Source organism: Homo sapiens, chromosome 10, assembly GCF_000001405.40.
Source record: "Homo sapiens chromosome 10, GRCh38.p14 Primary Assembly".
NCBI classification, from domain to species: Eukaryota; Metazoa; Chordata; class Mammalia; order Primates; family Hominidae; genus Homo; species Homo sapiens.
In genome coordinates, this window is record NC_000010.11 from 79181457 (window position 1) to 79204664 (window position 23208).

Below are 23208 nucleotides of genomic sequence, written 5' to 3' on the forward strand. Positions count from 1 at the left end.
ACCTCCTTGGGGCGGAGGCATCCCAGGGGCTTGAGCAGCCACCTGCCCACCGGCTGCAACCAGACCCCAGAGGCACTTTCTCAAGGTTCCTAGGCCCTCCCAGGGAGCCGGGGTGAAGCCCAGGCATCATTGTGCTTATAGCTCCCCAAACCCCAAACCGTGGGCAGTGCTCACCTTGCTGTCCTCTAGGCCCTGGCTGTCCAGGTCACACCCCTTTGTGACCCCCTCTGGGCCTCATCCTGCCTCAGGCCAGCCTCAGGCCAGCCCTGGGACCTTGAGCCCATCCCTCCCTGCTCTTCTCTCTCATCCTTCCTCTACCCACAACCCACAGTCCCCATGGCATTTGTCCCCGTCATTGACCTCCCCTGACTTGGCGGCTGCATGTCCCGGCCCGCCTCCCAGCCACCACCACCACAGCCACCGCCCGGCTCCCCACCGGCAGCTGAGGGCGGCTGCTGGACAAGGCTGTCATTTTCCCTGCTGGGGATTACAGGTTTGGGGCTGCAGGAGTCTGAACTGGAGGAGGAGGAGGAGCCAGGACTCACCCAGTGCCAAGCTGGAGAGAGACAAGAGACACCTCACAGGAAGGATGGGCTGGTCCCTGGTTCTGTTTGGGCTGGGATGGGGAATTCAGTCACCTGACATTACCAGAACTGTGTGTGTGTATGTGCACATGCGTGTGTGCATGCATGGACGCACCTCTCCCGAGGGGCAAGGGCTATGTCCTGCTCATGCAATTTAATCCGCCCAAGCTCATTTTTCAGATGAAAAAGACAAAACTCAGAAAGGGCAGGGGACTGGCCTAGGTCACACAGCAGTTTAGAGGACAGCCAAGTCTGGGCTGCCTGGCTGCCTCCAGCTGCTGCCTGATGCACCCACCTCCTTCTTGCCCACCTCCAGGAGAAGGTGGGGGCCAGGAGTATCGACTGGGTGACTGCAGACCCCCGAGAGGGCCTGCTTCTCGAGAGAGCTCTGTGGGTGAGGTATGGGCTGGGTTTGGGGGGAGAGTGTCAGCTGGACTCAGAGTGCAGCAGCATTGGTTCTGGGTGTGCAGGAGCTAGGAATGTCTCCCAGGGGTCCACAACTATGAATACTGGGATGGGATTAAATACCAGCAAGGTGACCCCAGTGGATCCAAACCCCTCTGGGGGAAAGTGGGTAAGCGTATGTATGCCAGGGACAGGGCCTGAGAGCCCTAAGAGGCTTGAGGATTTGAAGAGGCCCAGGGTTGAAGAAAACACAGCGGAGTGGTTCCGAGCACAGCCTCTAGAATCAGACTGCCTGCCTTCCGAGGCCGAGCCCAGTCACTTGACTTCTCTGGGCCTTGTCTCCAGGGTCTCCATGGCGATTAAATGAAATAAATCTTGAACACTTAGTGCTGTCCGTGGTGTGTGCATGGTACGTATCCATTAGATGTACACTGTTTTCCTCCTCCTCGGGTCTGTAGGTGTTTCAAGGCCCTGCCCTTCACCATCTGAGCAGTGAGGGCTGGAGTAGGGCAGTTAGTATGGTGAGTCAGCCAGGAGGGTCCTGGAACTGTACTTGATGAGGCTCTCCCTGGACTGGGTCACTAAGGAGCCAGCATTTCTGATAAGCAGTACCAAGTCAACCTAGGTTGGCACCCAATCCCAGGAGTGGACTGGCCAGACTGCTGGCAGCCAGAGGGACCTGTCAGAGCTAACCCTTGGCCCCTTTCAGGCCCCATGGTGCAGGGAGCACAAGGGAGCCAAGGCTGGTGGGGAGGCCTGCCTGTTCTTGGGAATTCACGACGTGTCTGCCTGTCGCAAGTACCTCGATAAGGAAGATTTGTGGGTGAGATTTGCAATTCTGTTTTCTTGGAGGGTTATAAATCAGCTGCATGCACACCCGGGACGCAGCACAGGCCTGAGGCTCGTGCACGCGCACACACACACACACACACACACACGCACACACCCATGTGTGCAGAGACACAGTCCAGGTCCTGCTTGATATTCCCCAGTTCTCTAGGTTGATGAGCTCTATGAAGGGAAAAACTTGGGCCCCTAAACTGCTGCCTGCCCTAACAGGGTCCCAGAACCATCCAGAATGAAGGATGCAAGGCTGGGAGACGGTATCCCCATGGTTGGAGAAAGAGTGTGTTACATGGGTTACGAGCGTGAGCTCTGAAGTCTGCCTGGTTGGGTTCAAACATTGGCACTGTGAGTTACTAGCAATGCCCTTGGCTGTGTTGCTTTCAATGCTGTGTCTCAGTTTTCCCATCTGTGCAAAGGAGCTAATTATATCGTGTACTATGTGGGATGGTTGAAAGAATAAAACAAATCAATATTTGCAGAGTGCTTCAAGCAGGGCAGAGGACATAGTGAGTTCAGGAAGGCACGGCTGTTATCCTATCATCATCATCATCACCAGTTAAGGGCTGGGTTTTGGGGTCAGACCAGGGCTGGAATCCCAGCTGTGCCCCTTATTAGCTCTGTGAACTTGGACATACTCATGACACTCTCTTAGCCTCCAGTGCCTTCTCAATAAAAGGGACTATTCCTGTCTACTTCATAGGGTTGTTTAAAGGAGATGAAGGGTGCAATATCAGACCCTCAGGAAACGTCGGCCAGCGTTGCCTCGGTGCCTTGAGGTGGGATACTGGACAGGGCCTCTGGTTCAGAGCCTCCAGGTGGCTCTGCTCCGTGGCCTGTCTTCCTGTGGGAGGACAGTGTGCAGAATGTTTAGAAGAAAAGGGGAGGTTCTGGGGAGGTGAGCAGAGGGGAGGATTCCAGGAACCTCTGTCTTCCTTCCACCATCAGGGACAGAAAGCGCTGGCCAGAGTGGCTCTCCCTGCCCCTGCCTCTCCTTCCACCCCTCTCCCGATGTGCACACACAGCATTGTGAGCTGTGAGCGTGAGAATAGGCCTTGGAGACTGGCAGGTGTGACTCATGGCTCTGCCATGCACTTACTGCGTGGCCTTGGGCAGGTCACTTAACCCCTCAATTCCCTCTATTGAGGGATAATTGTGCCTGCCCCACCTGGCAGCTGGAGAACTAATTAAATGAGATAATGTGTGTGGAGCACTTAGCACAGCTCCCAGAGGCGCCCGGATAAGTGCCCTGCAAATGCAATCACCCGCCCCCTCTCTGCCTCCTCTCCTCCCTCTGATCCTCACTCACCTCTCTCTGCCTTCCCACACCTGATCCATGGACTGTGTCTTTCCAGGCCAGACCTTTCAATCTTTCTCTCTGGGAAGATGGGCTCTATGTCTAGGAGATGCCAATGGAGCCGTGTGAGCGAGTGTGAATGGAGGGAGAGATGAGTTTAGAAATCCCAGCCTGCTCTTCTGATCCAGTTCCCCTGTGCCAGCCGCACAAGGGCCAAAGTGTGCTCTGCATGAAGCCTGGCCTTTGCTGATCCATTGCTGCCCGTCCCCGAGTCTTTACTGCCTCCTCAGGGTCCTCAGCTGCTGTCAGATGAAGGCTTGCTTCCAAGCAGTTCCTGGATTTTTACCTGCTCAGCCATAAAGCCCTGCAAAGTGATGAATCTAGGGATGAGTAGCTGCTTGCACAAGTGCAGGCAGGAGAGACGGGGACCAGAGCCCATATTTTTGCAGAGCCAACATTTTTGCACCTCTCCTACCCACCTCACTGCCCAGGCGAGCAGGACGGTGAAGCCTTGGCTGTGGATAATTGTCGGGAGCATCCCAGGCCAAGCCTTGGTCTCCCATCAGAACTTTGGAGGCTGGACTTCTCTGTTGCCAGGGAAACCGGTGTGTTCCCAGGAAAGGAAACCACAGCACTTTAGCTGTTAAGACGCCCCCCTCCCCCCGAAATGAGTTCCCTCCAAAACGGATTCGCCCCAAAATTGTTGAGTCGGCAGCATCCTGCCTTCTCCCTGAGCCTGCTGAAACGATAGAAAATGCAATCTGCCCCTGACCTTGTGCTTTTCACCTCTTTTTAAAACATTCCACTGTAGCACAAGGACATGTTTTGTTTTTTCTTATTTATCCTCCTCCCATGCCAGCTGGGGCTCCAAGTCCTTCTCTCCAATTGTTGACTGGAGCCAGAAGGGAAAGGACTTCTACATCTTTTTTTTTTTCCTTGTTCAGCTGTCAGCAGAAATAAAACAAGCAGGTTTATATTTGGAAAGCAGAGGGTCTCAGCCACCAGATCGCTATGTCCGGGGTAGGTCACAGCCTTTGTATCTTCTCCTCCCTCAACAGTGGCTTGAAATTTGATCCACAGATTTGCAGAGTTGAGAGTGAAGGGAGGGTTTTTGGAGCAGGCCTGTCTTTACTCACTTTGACTTTTAAATGCCATTGGAGGATTGTGGATGAATCTTCAGTTGCTGACAACACTGGACCTTGGAAGAGATGGTTTTAGAAAAGAATCCCCCTGGAATAACCCTGGAGCAGTCAAGGTTTGGGCAGCATCTGGAGTGTCTGTGTCCATTCCTGTCCATCATCTGCTCCCTGTACAGGGAGGCTGGAACTCTCACCTGGTTCAGGAGGTTTCGAGGCTGTCTAAGGAGTAGCGAGGAGTCCCAGCCAGGCCCGATGACCCCAAGAGTTACTGTTAGGAGACAAAACCAAACAGGAAAGAAGGAAGAGAGAAATGTGGCCAGTGTTCACTTTCAGGTCCCTGGATGTTTTTGAGGGCACTGTAGAGGAGGGAAAGGGTGTGAAGAGACTTGGGTCCAAATACCAGACACACACCCACCACCCACGCCCTTTGGGCCTGGGTCTTCCCATCTGAACAACTGCCTGGCCCTGGATCCTGTCCAAGCCCTCCCCTGGTCTGTCCCATGGTCTGTGCTCTCAGGGTCACTTTGGGTGATCTAAGCAGTTAATTTTTTACCTCGAAGTGACTCTCTGTTCCGTAAGTAATTTTAAACAAATTCTCTTCCTGTCCTTGCACTTCCACAGGAGAAAAACATGACCCACCGGGGTTTTTCACCGGCCCCCACAGACTGGCGTGTCCCAGGCTGTGTGCCTGCTAGAAGCCCTGGGCAGGAAGGGGCTTGGTGGGGCCTCCAGTGTTTTTTAGCCCCATTTGGGATTTCCAGCGGGTCTTTCTTGTTGATTCCCGAAATCCTGTCAGATCTTGCTATTAGCATGAGGCTCTCAGAGTATAAACTAATGAATTACAGCATGATTACACAGCACATAATTAACTTTGTAATTAATATGCAACTGCCACTTAAGCTAAAACACTGCTTATAGAGACGTACAGCAATAGTAAATCACAGGTCAGAAGTAGCACTTTGGAATTTTCAAAAGAATGAGCGTGAGCAGGGAATCACTTAAGGCAGCAGAGTGAGTTAATTAAAAAGCAGATGAATGGTGAGAGTCCTGCTTCATTTCAATACCTTCTCCCTTAAGAAGGACCCCGTGCCACCCGCCAGGCTGACTGGTCAAAGGGGCACTGAGCATGTGGTTTTATTTCCAAAATAAGACGGGCTTTCCCTGCCCACTCTCTTAACCATCTGCCCAGCCACACTGCCCCTGCTGGAGGCCATGCCCCCTTGGCCCTTGGCACCTGGCTCCACCTCTCCTCCTCCAGGAAGCCTGTGGGGTGATCCCCAGCCTGGCCTCTGCAGTCTAGCCCTCTGGTAGGCACTCCCAGCAGGTAGGTTGGTACTGTTTGTCTGCCTTCACCTGGATTTTAGGCTTCTGGAAATCAGTGATGTCATCTTACTCTTTTTGTTTAATCCTTTCTTCCCCAGCCTCCTGCAAGAGTGTTAAAGCTAGAAGATGCCTTAGGAATCATCTCACCCCGTCCCCACTTCATCAAGGCCATGGAGTCCAGGGTCTGAGCGCTGTAGTCACACCACAATATGGCCTGGGCCAAGCAGAAATTCCCTCTCCCATGCCTGGCTCTAGCCCGGCGGACACTGCCAGTATAGCTGCGTGATTAGGCTGGAACCTTTGAAATGAGCTAAAGCCAAGTTCCGGTCCCAGCAACCTCACTGCCCAGCTGTGTGACCTTGGGCGAGTTGTGTAACCTCTCTGGGCCTCAGGTTCCTCTTCTGTGAAGTCTGAGCTGTGGTGCCCACTTTGCTGGGCTGGAGTGAGAATTCGATGGGATGATGTATGCAAAGGGGCCTGGTGCAGCGAGTGGGCTCCCGGAAAGCTCAGCACCCCAGCCATCCTCAGAGGTTTGGGGTACAGGGAGAAATGAGTGACATCTTGATCAGCCCCTTCCTTCTGGGGCTGAGGAAATGGGCACAGAGAGGTGAGCCATGTGTCCACAGTGCAGTATGCATGCTGGCATGCTTGGGACCCCCAGGCCAGGATCCTCCTGAGGACACACCTTGTGTCCTGTGTCCCTCCCAGGCTGAGCACAGGCGGTGCAGAGCTGACCCAGGGCAGCGCCTGGAGAATGAATGAACCCAAGGGCCTCCCTCTGGGCAGCCGGAACCCGCGCAGTCTGCCACTCAGCTTCCCTGTTCCCCAGCCCCAGAATAGTGTGGAGATAGCTTGGTTTTGTGTATAGTTACTGGGCTTTGAAGTCTGATAGATCTGGGTTTGGATCTCAGCTTTGCCATCTTCTGATCTTGGGCAAGTTCCTTAGTTATTTTCAGCCTTAGTTTTCCCATCTGTAGATGGTGCCACTCATTCATTCTACCTTCGGCTATATTGTTATAAAGATAATTCACATAAAATACCAAATATGCTGCCTGACGTAGTACATAATGAAGGACACGCCTATTGTTCTTGTTACTATTCAGAATTATGAATGGAGATGTCAGTGTGACTGCAGGAGGGCCACCCACCTCTAGGGCCTCAGGTAGAGAATCCTGCCTGCTGCCTGGGCCACCTGGGCCTGCACACACCCTGGCTTCTGTGCCTCTGGCTGCAGTCATTGCTTGGATGGGACAGGGGAGGGTCATCTCCGCCTCAGGCAGCTCATGTGACCTTCCTACTCTGGCCTTTGCCCTTCCAGGAAGTGTTCTGGGCCGCTCTTCCCGCCCCCGAGCCAGTCTTGCTGGGGGAGGGAGCCCAGGGCGCCTTCAGGCAGGCTCGTGGCTGGTTGGGTATATCCAAGGTGGCCATGGCTTTCATGAAGCTGGACATGATACTGGATTCAGAATCCAGGATTCCGATCTTTCTGTGGCTTCTCTTCGCACAGACGTCTTTGTTTCTGGTCACGCCTTTGTGGCCAGAGCCCAGCTTGGAGCTAGGAATCTTCCTCCTGTCCCCCACCCCCCTAGTATCCCCTCCCCCAGTCTTTTACCCAGCCAGCTGGCCCTCCTTGCCTCTTCTGTGTCTCTCCTCCAGCCTCTCCACCCTTGGGCCACTCCCTTTAGGTCGGCATTTCTCAAAGCAAGTCCTGGGGAAAACTAGTTCTGTGGGATTTTAAAATGTGTTTAGTGAAAAAAGCATTTTTGCCATCCAGTAACACTGAGAAAAGCCAGATTTTGTAAGGCCCTTCCCATGCAAGCGTGCTTTCATGATCTCCCAGAGGAGGACAGAAGATGCAGCTTTCCCCAACTCATCTAACCGGGAATGCTTCGCTCAGGAGCACCTCCTGGGACCTGGTTTCCAAGAAACAGATCTGGGCAGAGCCATCTGGGGTGTCCCAGTCACCAGAGCACAGTGTGGCTTTTCTCTGATCTCCTGTCTTTATTAGAGATGGTGCCCAGGCAGACTTCATCTGGGCATCGAGGCCACTGCTGGAGGAGCTCACTTGTCCGAAAGCTCCTTCCCTAATCCATCCTTCCCTCTGGAACATTTGTGACTGTCCTTTGCCACTAAAACAGAGTCCCTCCAGCTCCTCAACCTGGCATTCTGGCCAATGGCATGGGACCCCTGCCTCCCTCTCAGCTGCAACCACCCAGGACTTCTGAGGCGCCCTGTTGAGCTCATGGTATGGTTCCCAGAGGGCCTGTAGAGTGGTGGTGTTTAACTCTGTCACGCAGGCACCCAAGTCTCTGGCTCCAGCTTCCTTCTGCCTCTGATGGAGCCGATAAGACCCACCAGGGCACTCTAGAGAGTGAATGTTCACCTGCTCAGGGCGAGGCTAAGTTTCCTAGTCACTAACCCAGTGAATCAGCACAGCAGCCTATGAAGTTGTACAATTATGGTTACTGTTGTTATTATTTATAGATGAGGGACCTGAGGCATACTGAGGCTAGCATTGTGCCCCAGGGCACAGAAGCCAGCAAGTGTCAGAGCCAGGATGCAAGCCCAGGCAGCCTGGTGCCCTTAACCACTAAGCTATACTGCCCATCTAAGATGGGGTGAAACATGGGTCAACTCGTGAGGTTATAACACCAAAGTGCTTTGTAAACTGTAGAGTGCTGTGCACATTAGACTTTCAAGTCACCAGGCAGCTTTGGAGCACCTAGCGTGATTTTTGTCTCTGTTGGTTTTCAGCAGGCAGCCAGGAAGCGTGTTTTCGGATTGCCTGTGGGGTGTCCAGCGTGTGCTTGGAGGGTTTCAGGAATGAGGGCCCTCTGCTCTTGGGCCGAGGTGGCTCAGTCCCCTGAGTAGCCTCACACCCAGAGACTCCACTAAATGAAGATCGGGCTAGACCCAGCTGACGCACGCCCCTCCCATGCCATGGGCTTTCTGGAGAGTAGAGCTTGATGAATCACTGTGCCAGCCTCAGCCCAGCTCCCACCCCCGGATCTAGGGATGCTAGAAATCTCCATAGGGAGCTGTGGGGGCTGCCCAGGGCCTCTGCAGGGAGAAGCATAGCTGCTTCCTAGTAAGAGCCAAGCCCCTGTTCCCATCACACTTGGCATGGGCACCCTGTCCTACCCCACCCCAACCCCCAAGGCGGCTTGGAGCTCCCCAGGGCAGGCCCGTTTGAGCTGTCTGTGGGCTGACCACAGGCCTGGCCTGGGCAGGCATCAGCAGGGGTGGACTGGATGTGGTTGGGGCAGTTGGGGCTCCTGAGGCCTGGGTGTGGGCCCTGACCCTGCCTCGGATCCACAGTGGGGCCTTCAAGGCTCTGCTCTACGCTCCCTGCCTCAGGCCTCCGTTTCCTCATCTGTAAATGTTAGGATAGGCCTGCGCAGATCCCAGATCACTTCCAGATCTAAGCCATGAGGACTTTTCATTGTTTTTCCATCTACCACTTTTAGCTCAAGTAAATGTCTGCCTTCTGATTCCTCTGTTTCCCCAATTTTTTGGTTTTTTAGAAATTAAAAAATATATATATACTAACAGTGAAGAGCAGCTAACTAAAGGAGTACACTCATGGGCTCAGGAGGAGCAGCCACTGCCCTGGGTCATTCACACCCCCTGTGTGGCTAGGTAGAAATCACCTACCCACTCAGAGCCTCAACTTTCTCATCCACAAACTGAAATAATACTTGTTTGCAGGCTACTGTGAGACTGTGATATAAGGTTGCTTGAAATAGGCCCACCCATCCATAGAGGCTCTTAGCTTGAAAAGAACCTGGCTGTGACTCTCAGTTTAGGGTAAAGAGCACAAAGTCAGGAAACGGGAAGTTTGCATGTGGATCTGCTTGGTGGCCTCAAGCTAAGCCCTCCCCTCTCTGGCCTCTGTTCACTGCCTTTTCAAAAATAGACCACCTAGAAGACTTCATCTCATGTGTTGGTACCAGGTGGTTAACAATGGCTGTGCAGAAGTGTATGTGGAGGATTGGCTGGGAGAGTGCAGTGATTGATTAGCCATGCCTGCTATGGGTGTGGGAGGTGGAGGGTTGTATGGATGCCACCTCCACCTCTTGCATACCAGAGCATTACCATCCCTATGCCAGCTGGTCCTTAAGGGCTGATCTAGTTCTGTCTAACTCTTCCTGGGGGATGCCATTAATCCTGCCCCTATTTGGAGCTCCTGCAGAATGCCAGGTGGGATTTGGAGCCTTGGGGAGCTGGGGGTAGGGAGGGGACAATGGAGAATACCTCCATTCCTGGAGCCAGGGTGTAGGAACATCTGCTAGGTATTTACAGCCTTCTAGAGGGCACCAGCTGGTGGTCGGGGGGGGTCCTGCCTCTGTCTACAGTCACATCCTTCCCTATATCCTCCAAGGGCCCTCGGGTAACTGTTCTCACCCCTCTCTTCCCCACTTCATGGCATCTGAGCCTTTGGAGTCACAGACAAGAGCCTTGAGGCAGAGCCAGGACAGGGACACTGCATGAGCACTGCTATCCTGGGAGAGGCTTGTGGCCTGGGCCCAGCACTGGACGGGCCTGTGACTCCCTATCTTCACCATCCTCAGCACTCCACAGCAGTGCTAGTCACCTTCCTCTCACTCAGGGAAGTTGGGGCTGGGGAAGGCAGTGTCTAGTTGAGGGAGGTCTGCCATATTCCCATGGAAAACATGATACAGAAAAACATGGGCTTTGTAATCAGACCTAGATTCAAATCCTGGCAGTTGTCAGTAGTGTGACCCTAAGCAAATCATTGCACCTCTCAGAGGCTCAGTTTCTTCATCTGTAGTAGCCTCTGTTTCTTCACCTGTAGTACTGTAATAATAATTGGACCAGCATATAGAGTTTTGAGGCTTAACTGATGTGACATAGAGAACCTAGTGTTTAGCACATATAGGTTTGATAGTTGTTCAGTACCTCTTTCCACTCTGAGGAAACAAAGTGTAGGGGTGTGGCCTCCTTGGGAATGAGAGAAAGCCCAAGGGGCCTTCTCCAGAGCTGAATCCAACCCTCCTTTGCCTCTGGGGAAGAGAAGCTGTCAGAGAAAGTTCACTGTGAGGTCAGGGATTTGGAGTATGGCCAGAGGATGGCAGGGGGGTTTGGCCTCAAGGGCATGGCCTCCTCTAAAGTGCCATGTGCCCAGAAAGACAAGGCACACCAAATGCAGCTAGGATCCCAGCCCTGTGTGGGTTGGGTCAGTGGGCTGGCCCCTTTGTCAGGGCCACATCACTGAGTGTTTCCCCAGGAAACTGTCACTTCTGAATTAACTTCTGTGTCCCAGGGCAGGTTGCTAGGCATAGCTGTGTGGGGCTGACTGTCATGAAGCCCCCACTCTGAAATGCCAAGGTTACATTATGTTATCCCACTAGCCAGCATTGACAATGGGTGTTCCCGTGAACAAGGATGGGTGTTGGGAGATTGGATCATGAAGAGAAGTGGGTCCACCCTTCCGGAAGCTTTGAGTGCCAAGCCAAAGCATCTGAACTCTGGTGGGGCAGTGTGGAGCCGTGTCAAGTCTTGGCACAGGAGCACTGCCCTGGTTGAGGAAGGAGGGACTGAATTCTGAAGAGTTGTGGTCCGAATGCAGAATTTCACTTTTTAAAACACTGTCCCCTAAGTATTCATTTGCTCAGCTCCTCAACACAGTGGGGCAGGGAGGAGATGGACTTTCCTGCTTGACAGATGAGGATGCAGGCTCAGGAAGGTGAAATACCCTCCCACAACCTCATAGCCAGGAGGTCTGGCTCTCAGGACCACTGCCTACCCAGGGGCCCCACCCTGTGCAATGACTCACGCTGGCCCGAGGGCCTGCTCCAGTTGTCCTGCTAAGAGCTGGAAGCAGCTGGCCCTGTGCAGCTGCCCGGAGCTGCCTCTTCCATCCCTCTCCCCATCTCGTCTCCTGTCTCTCTGCCCTTCTTTCTGACTTCCCTGAGGTAGGGCACAAAGTCACTCTCCTACTGTCCTTGCTTCACCACCACCCTCTTCCTCTGCATCCAGCCCGTGTGCCTGGTGCAGGCTACCGAGGTTTGGGAATGCGCGAGCCACCTGCGACGTGACCACAGGCAGCTTCCACACCTCTCTGAGCTTCTACTCATTACCTTTAAGGTGAGGAAGTCATCAGTCTACATCAGTGCTTGCCTAACCTTGGTCACTTTCATTCCGTTCATACTATGTTTAAAACAATTCTTTAATTCACTTAGGTCTGCTATTGCTACCTAATTTAACTGCATGCTAAATAATAACATTCATGAACTCATCAGTCCAAAAACTTCACTATGAGAATGTAAAAGGTTTGTCCATGGACCTTCTAAAGTCATCGTTATCCCACCAGAAGTACATGTATCTCTCTTTGGGAACCCTCAACGGGGTAACCAGTGTCTCTCTGAGTCCTAGGATCTTCTGATTATGGCTGGGTGATGGGTTTTTCAGCTCTCACCACCCTGGTTCTCATGTACACCCAGCAATGGGCGTGCGTCCACCTGCCTGTTCACCCATCTAATGAGTACCTGCTGAGTACGGAGCCCTGGGCTAGACTAAGGGATCTGTAACTGGAAGACATTCCAGCTGATGGAGAGACAGTTGCAAGGAGTCAGCCCTCATCTAGTGCTGCTACGATGGGGGTGTGTGACAGCGACATGGAGGGGATAGGGATGGAAACCAAGAAAGAGCACGAAAGAGTGACAGTTGAGCCATACCCTGATGGATGGGAGGTGTCCAGGCATTGCGGGCAGAGGGACAGTCAGAGGCAAAGACATGGAGGTGCGATCTTCAGAGCACAGTCCGGGAGGCAGGGAGCAGCCCCACGTTGGGGACAAGGGATGTGACTGAGAGTAGTGAGGGCTAGGGGCCAGGCCGAAAAGGATCCCAACTGATGCTGACATGTGCAGGTTGGCAGGTCATTGCTGAGCCCAGGGCTCATGAAGTTTGTCCCTTTGGGAGTCTAAGGCTGATGAAGGGGCTGTCTGGGATGTCCTCTGGACCCCTAGGCTTTCCCTTCTGGCTGTGTCTTGGAACGCAGCCTCTGCTCGCGGGCTGTAGGCAGAGCTGCCCACTCCTGCCACTGGCACCGCTTGCCCCAGGGGACCTAAGCTGCAGATGTGCATGGTGATTGAATCATTTCTGCACACCACTGCTCACACAGCTCCCCGGGGACCCCCACTTGCCTGTGCAAGCTGTCATGAGATGTGTGTGCTCAAGTGCATCTGTGTTGGCATCCAGCATGTGCACATACCTGCTGTGAAGTATGCAAGGGGTCACATGTGTATGTGCCTATGCACACGTGTGCTGTGCAGACGCCTCTCTCTGGGTGCGTGTGCATTATGTGGACTGATGAACTAGTGAGGCCTCAAAGGTGGGAAATAAAACACTTGTGTTGGGACAGCTGACTGTTCGGTTGGCTGCCACCCTTGGGAGCTAGCTGCCTGTGGAGCTCCACATTTCTGTGGGGCAGCTAGAAGCACCTCATCCCTGTGTCCAGTGAGGAGCCCCCTGAGGGCTGTTTGCCTCCCCCAGCCGTTGAGACCGTTGAGATGCTTCTCTCCTTGCTGACTTGGCAGCCCAGAGATATCCAGGGCTCTATTTGGACCTGTCAGAGGGGCTCCAGCCCAGCTCTGCTCACGATGCCCTCCGTGTCCTCTTCCTCTCCCCACCTCCGCTTCCCACCCTGCTGCATGAGGGCATGAGGCAGGTGTTCCCAGGCCTTTTCAGCTCTCAACGTTCTATCCTCCAAGCAGCCCTCTATACATAATAGCCGCTAACTTTTCTTGAACTAGTCTTCTGCACCAGGCGCCGCTAAGCATAGACACCCTCGCTCTGCTGGGTGGTGAGAAGTGTAAATGGAAGCTTGGTCCCGAAAGACGTCCCACGGGAGTTGGGAAGACCGAGCTGACCCCATGTTACCATCCAAAAACTTCCATTTGCCCAACTAAGCCCAGCCAAGCGTAAGGTGCAAGAAGAAGCACAGAGCTGTGAAAGGGGCAGCGTCTTGGCCTTGGGCTGCCCTGGAAGAACAGCTCCCGGGGCTGCCGGGCCTTCAGCCTCCCCATGGACCTGCCTTGGGACAGGCTTTGCAGCTTCAAAAGCAGGCATTCTCCTCTTGTGGGGATGGTGTTTTCTGAACAGCCGGAGCTCCTCACAGGGAATCCTAAGAGGCTGGTATTTGACAGGCTGCCAAAGGCTGGCCAGCCCGATCCTGTGCTTTGCAGACAGCGAAATGGAGGTCCAGCTCTCTGCCCTATTCACTCAGCAAAGCAGGGTCCTGATCCCCCATGCTGATTAGCTTTGCATGGCTCCTGGCTGCTCTGACCAGGAGACATGGCGGGGGTCCTGAGCCGGGATGGGGGTAGCCTGCTTGGTCTCACCCCCCATTCAGGGGCAGTAGGAAGGGCTGAGGCCACGGGTGCACCTGGGGCCAGGCCGACAGTGATCTGTTGGGCGGGAGCCCGGCCTCTCCGGCTATAGAGCTGCAGCCACGGAGGATTTGTAGCGACTTGTAAAGGCTTAAAGGAGTCCAGGAGCCCGGAGGCGGAGGCAGCGGCCCAGCTGAGTGGCGCTCTTGTGGCGAAGGGCGACCTCTGCTGGCCACCAGGTGCGTGTCACCTCCCAAAGGTGGCCGGTGTGCAGGGAGCCCAGTGATGTAAGTGACTGGATTTGGGCAGGTTGGGTGGAACAAGAAGGTCATCTCCTGGGGCCCAGTCACAGCCGGAGGTGGGGACTACCAGGAAGCTCTGACTGCCAGTCATGGGGAGTGCAAAGAACAGCACATTAACAGCTGGAAAGGTAGAGGGTTTGAATCTCAGCCCAGCAGCTTTCCGGCTGTGTCACCTTGGGCAATTTGCTTCACCTCTCTGAGCCTTTTAAGGATGAAGAAAATTAGCACTGCATAGGGCCTGGCCTGGTGCCTGAACATAGCAGGTGTAGAACAAATGGAAGATCCCAGCCTGCCCCTCAACAAGCTGTCTCTTGCATGCCTCCCTCAGCGCACCCTTCCTCTCTTTATGCCTGAGACCCTTTGCTCTCTAGGCCTTTGACCCTTTTACTCCAGAGACTGGAGCCTCCATCTCCTCCATTCCTGGGGTTAGTAACCGCAGTTCTCCATCATTGACCTCAACAGTTTAAAAATGTCACCTCACCTGTAGGTGCCTCCATAATCCGCTAGCCATTTGTTCTTTTATTAAGAAACACAGGACACAGCGCTGTCCCTGTGGTCTGCGATGTCCCTCCTGCCATCCATCTACCCACCCTTGGGTCTCACAGGTGTTGCAAGCCCAGACACTCACCCCTCGGTTCCTGTGAGCTGCAGCCCTGCCTGGGAGCAAAGCCCCCCTGGGACCTGGACCCAGCCCAGTGCCCCTTGGCCTTGAACAAAACACTGATGGGCCCCAGGCTCCTCAGAGTAAAACCAGTTGAGGCAGAGCGGGTAGATAGGGGACCTGAAAGCACCTTCGGCCCTTAATATTCCAGGAATCTTTCTGTCCAGAAGCCAGTTCAGTCCAGCCGCCGGCCTCCAGACAAGACTGCCCGTGACCCCACGTGGGGCCAGCCCGAAGGTGGACAGTCCCATCTCCCAGTTTGCTGTTAACTTCTTAAAGCAGGACCTGGGCCCCCGCTATGACTAAACAGAAAAGAACTGCCTCTGAGCCCTGTGGTCGCCAGCTGGGTGGATCTAAGCTCCTGTGCCTGCTTGGGGCTTCCAGGCAACAAGCATTTATCAAGGCCCACCGGGCTCTGCCCCCGGACACAATGTCAGGAGAAAGTTCCTCTTGAGAGGTAGACCCTTATGGGTCACTGACTTGCCCCTCTGCAGCATCCTGTTCTGCAGATGGGGAAACCAAGGCCAGGAAACCAGAGAAGCCCACTCGAAGTCCATCCTGGCTGGGGACACCTGGGTGCTCACTGGAGTGAGGGAGAGGACGGAGGGCCTGGAAGCACACCTGGAACCTCCACAGTGTGCAGGTCTGGCCCCCAGGTCACTTAGGTTTGTCAACAGCGCCCCCTGCTGGCTGCCTGGGCCACCGGTGGCCCTTTGTCCTGGTGGGCAGTGGCCTGCCGACAGCAGGATGAAGGCCTGCCGGGCATGAGGTTTCTTTGTACTTCTCTTCTGTCTCCTCCAGCTAGGAGCTGAGCCAACCCAGGCCTTTGTGGGATGGGTCTCCCTGTCCTGGCTGGCTGTGAAAGTTGAATTCTCTATTGGAACCCTGGCTACCAGTGTTCACCCATGCCCCCACGTGGGACCCAGGCCTTCACTGCCGCATGGGTATCACATGGTGCCTGGGAGACCACCAGGGTCCTTTGGCTCTGATGGGGCCTGGCACCAGGAACTGAGATGGCCTTGCTGAAGGTGGCACTGTCTTGCTCCTGCTCTGGGCTCTCTGTGTCCTTGTCTTCCACACCATGGTTTGTCCCTGACCCCAGGAGCCTTTGTCATGTGGATGCTGGCTGAGGGTCTGTGTGGGTAAACTCAGGAGGACAAATACAGCTCCCGCTTGGGTGACCTACAGAAGTAGCAAGCGGAGCTGCCCTGATTACGCCCCTGCCAACCCAGACCATACACACACACACACATACACACACACACACACACACACACACACACACCTGTACCCTGTCCCCTCCCCAGGACCTGTTCAAGAGTAAAAACTGTAAAGGGAAAGCCAGGATTCTAGAGCTGGCTCCTATCCAACAAGCTGTAACCTCCAAGCCTTAGTTTCTTCATCTGTAAAATGGGGATGTAACTACATTTTCTTATCTGTGCTGTGCCTGGACCAGTACCTGACTCATAGGAGGAGCTCAGCACATGGTCATCTAGTAGGTAAATGTGGGCTTGGACCAAGAGTTCCTTGAACACAAGAAAATGATTTCATTTTAATCTCCGCACGCCCAACCCATCTGGCCTAGGACCCCGCACAGTGTCGTTATTAAAAAGCATTTTGGCCAGGTGTGGTGGCTCACGCCTGTAATCCCAGCACTTTTGGAGGCTGAGATGGGTGGATCACGAGATCAAGAGATCGAGACCATCCTGGCTAACATGGTGAAACCCCATCTCTACTAAAAATACAAAAAACTAGCCGGACGTGGTGGTGGGCGCCTGTAGTCCCAGCTACTCGGGAGGCTGAGGCAGGAGAATGGCGTGAACCCGGGAGGCAGAGCTTGCAGTGAGTGGAGATCACGCCACTGCACTCCAGCCTGGGCGACAGACTCTGTCTCAAAAACAAACAAACAAACAAAAAAGCATTTCTTGGAGAGAAGAAGCATGTACAGATGAGCAAGTGGAGACTAAAGATGTTTGAGTGGATGAGTAGACAGGTGAACAGGCGGGCATTTGTTTTTATTATTGTTACTTATTTATTTTTAAATTTTCTTTTTGGATGCTCCCTCACCCCCCTCCTCCTTCCCCAGGCAGGTATTTCGATAGATAAATGATGGGTGGAGAAATTGGGCTTCAGGGTGTGACATGTGTGATAGGTGGTGGGTGGGATGAATGGAGGGATGGTTGGCAGGGTGAGGGTGGAAGAAATAAATATGGGTACAACCCCCACTTTCCCCTTCTTGCTGTAGAGCTCCAGAAAGCACTTATCAAAAATACAAATTCCCAGATGACCCAGCAACTCCACTTCTGAGCCTATGTTCTCTAGACTAATTCACACACGTGTGATGTGCCGATGTGAACGGTTATTCCTGCAGCACTGCAATGATAAAAATTTGGAGCCGGGCGCAGTCGCTCACGCCTGTAATCCCAGCACTTTGGGGGGCCGAGGTGGGCAGATTGCCTGAGGTCGGGAGTTCGAGACCAGCCTGGCCAGTATGGTGAAACCCCATCTCTATTAAAAATATAAAAATTAGCCAGGCGTGGTGGCAGGCGCCTGTAATCCCAGCTACTTGGGAAGCTAAGGCAGGAGAATCACTTGAACCTGGGAGGCGGAGGCTGCAGTGAGCCAAGATCACGCCATTGCACTCCGCCTGGGCAACAGAGCGAGACTCAGTCTCAAAAAAAAAAAAATTGGAAAAAGCTTCAGGGTCCCTCGTTTCAGGCTGGAGTGTGAGCCCCCAGAGCAGAGGGGCCTTGTCTGAGGGCTCAAGCCTTAGAACAGCACCTGGCAGGGGGCGATGGGCAGATGTTAGTTGGATAATGCTTCATCATACCTAGGAATACTGTGCGGCCATTAAAAAATGAAAAGGTGGCCAGGCGTGGTGGCTCACACCTGTAATCTCAGCACTTTGGGAGGCCGAGGCAGGGGAATCACGAGATCAGGAGATTGAGACCATCCTGGCTAACACAGTGAAACCCCGTCTCTGCTAAAAATACAAAAAATTAGCCAGGCATAGTGGCAGCACCTGTGGCCCCAGCTACTTGGGATGCTGAGGCTGGAGAATCGCTTGAACCTGGGAGGCAGAGGTTACAGTGAGCCAAGATTGCGCCACTGCACTCCAGCCTGGGCGACAAAGTGAAACTCCATCTCAAAAAAAAAAAGTTCTTTGTGTCTTGATGTGGAATAAACTTTGAGATGTATCATCAAGAGGGGGGAAAAGAAAGCAACATCCAAATAATGTGTATAGAATGTTATTATTTTATGTTTTTAAAAATGTGGCAAGAAATAGTGTGTGTAGATATTTGCTTCTAGATGAGACTCTCCAGAAGGGGGACTGATGGCACTGGTTCTCCTAGAAAGGGCACCAGGGGACTGGGGACGGGGTCTGGACCCAGGACTCGATATCTTTGTGGACTTTCTGATTTTTGAACCATGCAAATGAATTACCTGTTCAGACACACATGGAGCAATGAGAATTGCACCAAGAGCTACACATCCTTTAAAGCAATTGGAGGAGGAACAGGACTTTCTTCCAAAGGCTGGGGCCAGGCAATGGTGTTGGGTCCCTCAACAAGCGTGTGTAGAAGGCAGACAGGCAGACAGGCAGGCAGACACAACCTACACTTCCACCAGCTGCGAGGACTTGGCACATCTGGGGCCTCAGTTTCCTCATCTCTAAAATGGAGATGATCCTGGCCTTAGAGAGTGTGTGTGAAAAGGAAAGGAGAGAATGCAGGTGTCCAGCACGTGAAAAGTCCTGGCTGACATGGCCAGAGATGAGGGGTCTTTAGTGGGGAGTGCGACAGAGTAGCAGGGAAGGCTTAGGGCCCCAGGTCTCCTGTCCAGCACCCTGGGTGTGATCCAAGTGTCTGCAGCCTGAACTGTCCACTGGGGGCAGGAGGGCAAATCGAACTGGCAGCGGGCAGTCTTCTGCCTTGGCCCAAGGACCTGGACCCCTAACAGTGGGTGGACTAGGGCTGTACAGTCCTTCCTCTCTCTACCTAGATCCCCGCCTTTGCTGTGTGGCCTCCCTGGAGCGGCCTGGGGACTCCCAGGGCTTTTTCGAGCCGAAGGAGCTTCCTCCACTTAGCTCTGTCATCCAGAGGGAAGTCCCATTCATGCTAATGGCCCTGAGCACTCCCTTCTCCTGCACTTCAGGAAGGGTGAGCCTAGTGCCAAGCCATCCCTGCACCCGCACTGTCAGCCTTGCACAGTGGAAACCGCGGGCTGGCAGTCAGGAACCCTGGCTCCTGGTGTGGGCTCAGACACCACTTGATGTGCCACCCTGGCTTTTCCCTTTCTGTCTCTCAGCCTCAGTTTCTTTATCTAGAAAATGGGTGTGGTGCTCATTCTTATCCTCCTTTTCCAGGAGGGCAAAGTGAAAACAACAGAGTTGTGAGTGGTTTGTAAATTATGAACAACTCAAAGCCTGAGGGACTGGGGGAGGGCAGATGCCACCTGAGATCTCCACTCAGAGCACATGTGCATGTGCATGTGCACTGAGGGTCGTCATATGGGAAGGTCCCCCTGCATGCACATGTATGAACACACACACACATACACACGTACACACACACACGTGGGCCAAGCCCTGAACCAGGAATCCAAGGGGAATTGCCACCCCCTCCACCACCCAAAACACACATGCGCATACAGAAATGTGTGCACCTGGCTGGGCGTGGTGGCTCACACCTGTAATCCCAGCACTTTGGGAGCCTGAGGTGGGCGGATCACCTGAGGTCAGGAGTTCGAGACCAGCCTGGCCAACATGGTGAAACTCCGTCTCCACTAAAAATACAAAAATTAGCCGGGTGTGGTGGTAGACACCTGTATTCCCAGCTACTCAGGAGGCTGAGGCAGGAGAATCGCTTGAACCTGGGAGGCAGAGGTTGCAATGAGCCGAGATCGCGCCATTGCACTCCAGCCTAGGTGACAAGAGCAAAACTCCATCTCAAAAAAAAGAAAAGAGAAGAAATGTGTGCACCTGCATGTGCAGTTCCTTATCCCCTGGTGGGCATGCCTGCCCAGTGCTCACATGTGCCACACATGGAAAGCACCCAGAAGCATTTCCTGCCCTCAGCCCAGTGGGGTACCCCAGGTGCAGCCCCACAGGGCCCAGCAAAGGACTCTGGAACCTGCCAGTGTTGTGGCCAGAGGGCAGTTGGGAGGCTGCTCAAGGTTGGCAGGCCTGGCGTGATCCAGTGACAACCTCTCCTTTCTCTTCGCAGGCTGGACAACGTTCATGGCTCTCGGGTAGAACCTAGTGAAACGGCCAGAATGAATTCTATGGACAGGCACATCCAGCAGACCAATGACCGACTGCAGTGCATCAAGCAGGTGGGTGTGGGGCAAGGCACACTCCGAGGGCGGGGCAGATGGGGCGGGCTGCAGCAGCAGGGCATCTGGTGGGTTCTGGCTGGAGACGATGGCAGGGCCTCCTGACCACCTACCTATCGAGGCCGTTATTGGCATGCTGGCACTGACCAGCCTAATGCTGGAATCACATGCCTGGGTTTCAGTGCCAATGCTGCCCTGTCCCTTTCCACACCCTTCCCAGCTGTGTGACGTTGGGCCAGTGTTGTGGCCTCTCTGGGCTCTGTTTATGTGCAAGGATGTAGTGATGCACCTGGCACTTCCATCTCTCTCCCACCACCTCCCTCCCTAGAACTAAGCTCCCTGCCCCTTTGCTCCAGTCGTTCTCAAAAAAAAAAAAAAAAAAAAAAAGTCACAGGCTGGGTGTGGCAGCTTACGCCTGTAATCCCAGAACTTTGAGAGGCCAAGGTAGGAAGATTGTTCGAGCCCAGCCTGGGTAACATAGCAAGACCCTGTCTCAGAAAAAAAAAAAAAAAAAAAAAAAAAGAAAGAAAGAAAGAAGGAAGGAAGGAGGGAGAAAGAAAGAAAAGAAATTAAAGCTGAGAAAATTTAAAAATATTTACTAATTTATTTAAAAATAAGAACCCATTATAGGCTGGACCCAGTGATTCACACCTGTAATCTCAGCGCTTTGGGAGGCTAAGGGAGGAGGATCACTTGAAGCCAAGAATTTGAAACCAGCCTGGGCAACATAGTGAGACCCCATCTGTATTTTTTAAAAAAAGAAAAAAAAAGCCACAAGACAAGAGGTCCTAGGAAATCATATCATTTTACAGGAAAGGAAACAAGTACAGAGAGGGGAAGTGGGTAGCCTGAGTCCACTCAGCCCCTCTGGTGCTGGGAAGACCTAATTCCAGTGAGTGCCATGGTCCCCACCCTGCTGAAGCTCATACCAAGCCCAAGAGGCAAGCTGCCCAGGAGTTCCCCTATTTGGACTGCCGGGAGGTGGGGAACCTTTCACAGGGGCGCCCCCAAGCGGTGGCCAGGAGTGACGTGCCCACCTGCTGGGCCCAGCTCCCACTGCCCAGGCTGGCAGCTTCCCTGCACAGACCCACGAATGTTATTCACTCCAGGAAGGACCAGGTACAGTGAGAGGGGCATGGGCTTTGGTGTCAGACGCCTTGGACCCAAGTGCTCATTCCTTTATGGACCCATGGTGAGATCTCAAGCTAGTCCTCCATTTCTCTGAGCCTCAGCTTCCCCATTTGTCAAATGGGGCCTACCTCGTAGGATGCTGTGAGGATGTTGTGGGTGATGCACGTAGCCCAGCCCTGGTGTGTGGTGTCCATTGTCCTCAGTATGTCAGTGACAGGGAAGGGAGTGCTGGGGCTCAGGCCCCTGGCCTAGGCCAGCTTAGCAGGAAGCTCAGGCAACCAGCATGGGCTGCTGGCCCCTGGGCTTCCGCCAGGCAGAACTCACAGCCCCCTACCCACCCAGCCTTCCCTCCTTGAGGGCCAGGACCCAGACGGAGCCTCCCCAAGGTGCCTGCCCAGTGGAACTGAGGCTGTTCCTCGAGAACGAGGGTTGTGTGTCTTCTTATTAGCATCGAGCAGAGGAATCTTAAAGTCTATGCAGGGTATGTGGAGAGGAAATTGAAGAAGGCTTGTTACAGATTGAACCCAGCCCAAATGGCTCTCCCAAACGCCAATTACACGCCTCTGTTCACCGTGGCAGAATAGAAACCAGACGCCAAGACTCCCTCCTCCCCCACACTCCCTCCTCCCACTCAGGGTTCTGCAGGGCTCTTTCCTAGCTCTACCTTTCACTCCGTTTCTCCCACCCTTGGCTCAGCTGGCAGGGGCCCCGCCCTCCAATGGAATGCTCATGCCTCCTGTGCATGGGACCCTCTGCATGGCAGGCACACCACTCCTGCCGAGACCTGCTCTCAGCCTCTTTCCTCTTGGCACCTAGCTCCGTATCACCAGGGGTCAGGGTGCACCTGACTTCTTTGGCCCTCCCTGGGTCCATCTTGGGCAGAGGCCCACCAGAAGCCCCTCACAGCATGGCACACAGCTCAGTCACCATTCCGTCGCTTACAAACTATGCAGCCTTAAGTTGCCGCTTCACTTCCCTTCATCTATAAAATGGGCATCATAATTAATTCACATTCAACCAGCACATGCCAGAGCCCACACCACCCTCCCTCACCTGCCCCGGCACACACATGCGTGCACACACACAGAGGGCTCTGCTTTTGAGCCAGGCAGTGGCGCATTTGTGAGTGTGCCCAGATGCCCCCTGGGCCATCCAGAGCTCCCTACGTGCTCCATGCCCCTCCTCCCACATCTCCGGTCAGACACAGCTCAGTGCTGACATCTGTCTGCTCCACAGCTGCCCTAGAAGTCAGCCTCGGCTGGCTGGGGACTGTTGATTCTCAGGCATCCTGTAACCTAATCAGAAGAGAAAGGCAAGCATGTGTGCACGAGCTGAGATGACGAGCTGTGCAGACCTCAGGCTGGTAGGGGCTCACCTCTCCACACAGCCTTCCCTTCCTGCCCTCACCTTGGTTGTAGCCTTTGCTGGCGTTCACCAACCCCCACCCTCTGCACCCTGCTGCCCATGTCCCCTCACAGCCTCTATCTAAGCTGCCTTTGCCCCTTCTCAGCCTCTTGGTACTGGGAGAACCAGTGCTCCCTCTCTGCAACATGCCCTTCTCAGAGATCACTGCCACATCCCAGCTCTACATGGAGAGCCCTGCAAATCAGCTCATTCCTGCTCAGCAGCTGCCCTGAACCCCAGGGGCCCTTCTGAGCATCTGTACCCCATCCCTGAGCTTGAACACTTCCTGGGCACCCAGCTGTCTCACCTACTCTGCTCTGTCTCTCTGGAGCTATGGGCCCTGTAGGAATACATCAGGTCTCCCACCAGGTTGAGCTCCTTGGGGGCAAAGGACATGCCATATTCATCTCAAAATCACAGAGTCTAGCATAGCATCC

General features: G+C 53.9%; 1 protein-coding gene across 11 annotated transcripts in view, besides 9 other annotated features; it reads left to right on the plus strand.

Annotated features, from left to right (window-relative positions):
• The window catches only part of ZMIZ1 (zinc finger MIZ-type containing 1), a 247554-nt gene that overhangs the window by 112491 nt on the left and 111855 nt on the right, over window positions 1-23208 (plus strand). For all 11 annotated transcript variants that reach the window (XM_047425538.1, XM_047425539.1, XM_005269988.4 and 8 more), the window contains one exon: window positions 20128-20236. In XM_047425538.1, the coding sequence (XP_047281494.1) occupies window positions 20177-20236 (60 nt within the window). In that variant the 5' untranslated portion in view covers window positions 20128-20176. The remainder of the gene's footprint in view (window positions 1-20127; window positions 20237-23208) is intronic.
• Window positions 68-684: an enhancer, noted in NCBI's record as "H3K27ac-H3K4me1 hESC enhancer chr10:80941281-80941897 (GRCh37/hg19 assembly coordinates)". NCBI's record gives its function as "activates a minimal SCP1, AML or CMV promoter by ChIP-STARR-seq in naive H9 embryonic stem cells {active_cell/tissue: H9 hESC(naive)}" and the evidence as "EXISTENCE:reporter gene assay evidence [ECO:0000049][PMID:30033119]".
• Window positions 2210-3409: an enhancer, noted in NCBI's record as "BRD4-independent group 4 enhancer chr10:80943423-80944622 (GRCh37/hg19 assembly coordinates)". NCBI's record gives its function as "activates an origin of replication core promoter dependent on BRD2, P300/CBP, MED14 and CDK7 cofactors, and independent of BRD4, by STARR-seq in HCT116 cells {active_cell/tissue: HCT116}" and the evidence as "EXISTENCE:reporter gene assay evidence [ECO:0000049][PMID:35650434]".
• Window positions 3609-4368: an enhancer, noted in NCBI's record as "H3K27ac-H3K4me1 hESC enhancer chr10:80944822-80945581 (GRCh37/hg19 assembly coordinates)". NCBI's record gives its function as "activates a minimal SCP1, AML or CMV promoter by ChIP-STARR-seq in primed H9 embryonic stem cells {active_cell/tissue: H9 hESC(primed)}" and the evidence as "EXISTENCE:reporter gene assay evidence [ECO:0000049][PMID:30033119]".
• Window positions 6066-6601: an enhancer, noted in NCBI's record as "H3K27ac-H3K4me1 hESC enhancer chr10:80947279-80947814 (GRCh37/hg19 assembly coordinates)". NCBI's record gives its function as "activates a minimal SCP1, AML or CMV promoter by ChIP-STARR-seq in naive H9 embryonic stem cells {active_cell/tissue: H9 hESC(naive)}" and the evidence as "EXISTENCE:reporter gene assay evidence [ECO:0000049][PMID:30033119]".
• Window positions 6602-7136: an enhancer, noted in NCBI's record as "H3K27ac-H3K4me1 hESC enhancer chr10:80947815-80948349 (GRCh37/hg19 assembly coordinates)". NCBI's record gives its function as "activates a minimal SCP1, AML or CMV promoter by ChIP-STARR-seq in naive H9 embryonic stem cells {active_cell/tissue: H9 hESC(naive)}" and the evidence as "EXISTENCE:reporter gene assay evidence [ECO:0000049][PMID:30033119]".
• Window positions 8744-9278: an enhancer, noted in NCBI's record as "H3K4me1 hESC enhancer chr10:80949957-80950491 (GRCh37/hg19 assembly coordinates)". NCBI's record gives its function as "activates a minimal SCP1, AML or CMV promoter by ChIP-STARR-seq in primed H9 embryonic stem cells {active_cell/tissue: H9 hESC(primed)}" and the evidence as "EXISTENCE:reporter gene assay evidence [ECO:0000049][PMID:30033119]".
• Window positions 14349-14438: an enhancer, noted in NCBI's record as "active region_3628". NCBI's record gives its function as "activates an Ori minimal core promoter by ATAC-STARR-seq in GM12878 lymphoblastoid cells {active_cell/tissue: GM12878}" and the evidence as "EXISTENCE:reporter gene assay evidence [ECO:0000049][PMID:35858748]".
• Window positions 19527-20027: an enhancer, noted in NCBI's record as "H3K4me1 hESC enhancer chr10:80960740-80961240 (GRCh37/hg19 assembly coordinates)". NCBI's record gives its function as "activates a minimal SCP1, AML or CMV promoter by ChIP-STARR-seq in naive H9 embryonic stem cells {active_cell/tissue: H9 hESC(naive)}" and the evidence as "EXISTENCE:reporter gene assay evidence [ECO:0000049][PMID:30033119]".
• Window positions 20028-20528: an enhancer, noted in NCBI's record as "H3K4me1 hESC enhancer chr10:80961241-80961741 (GRCh37/hg19 assembly coordinates)". NCBI's record gives its function as "activates a minimal SCP1, AML or CMV promoter by ChIP-STARR-seq in naive H9 embryonic stem cells {active_cell/tissue: H9 hESC(naive)}" and the evidence as "EXISTENCE:reporter gene assay evidence [ECO:0000049][PMID:30033119]".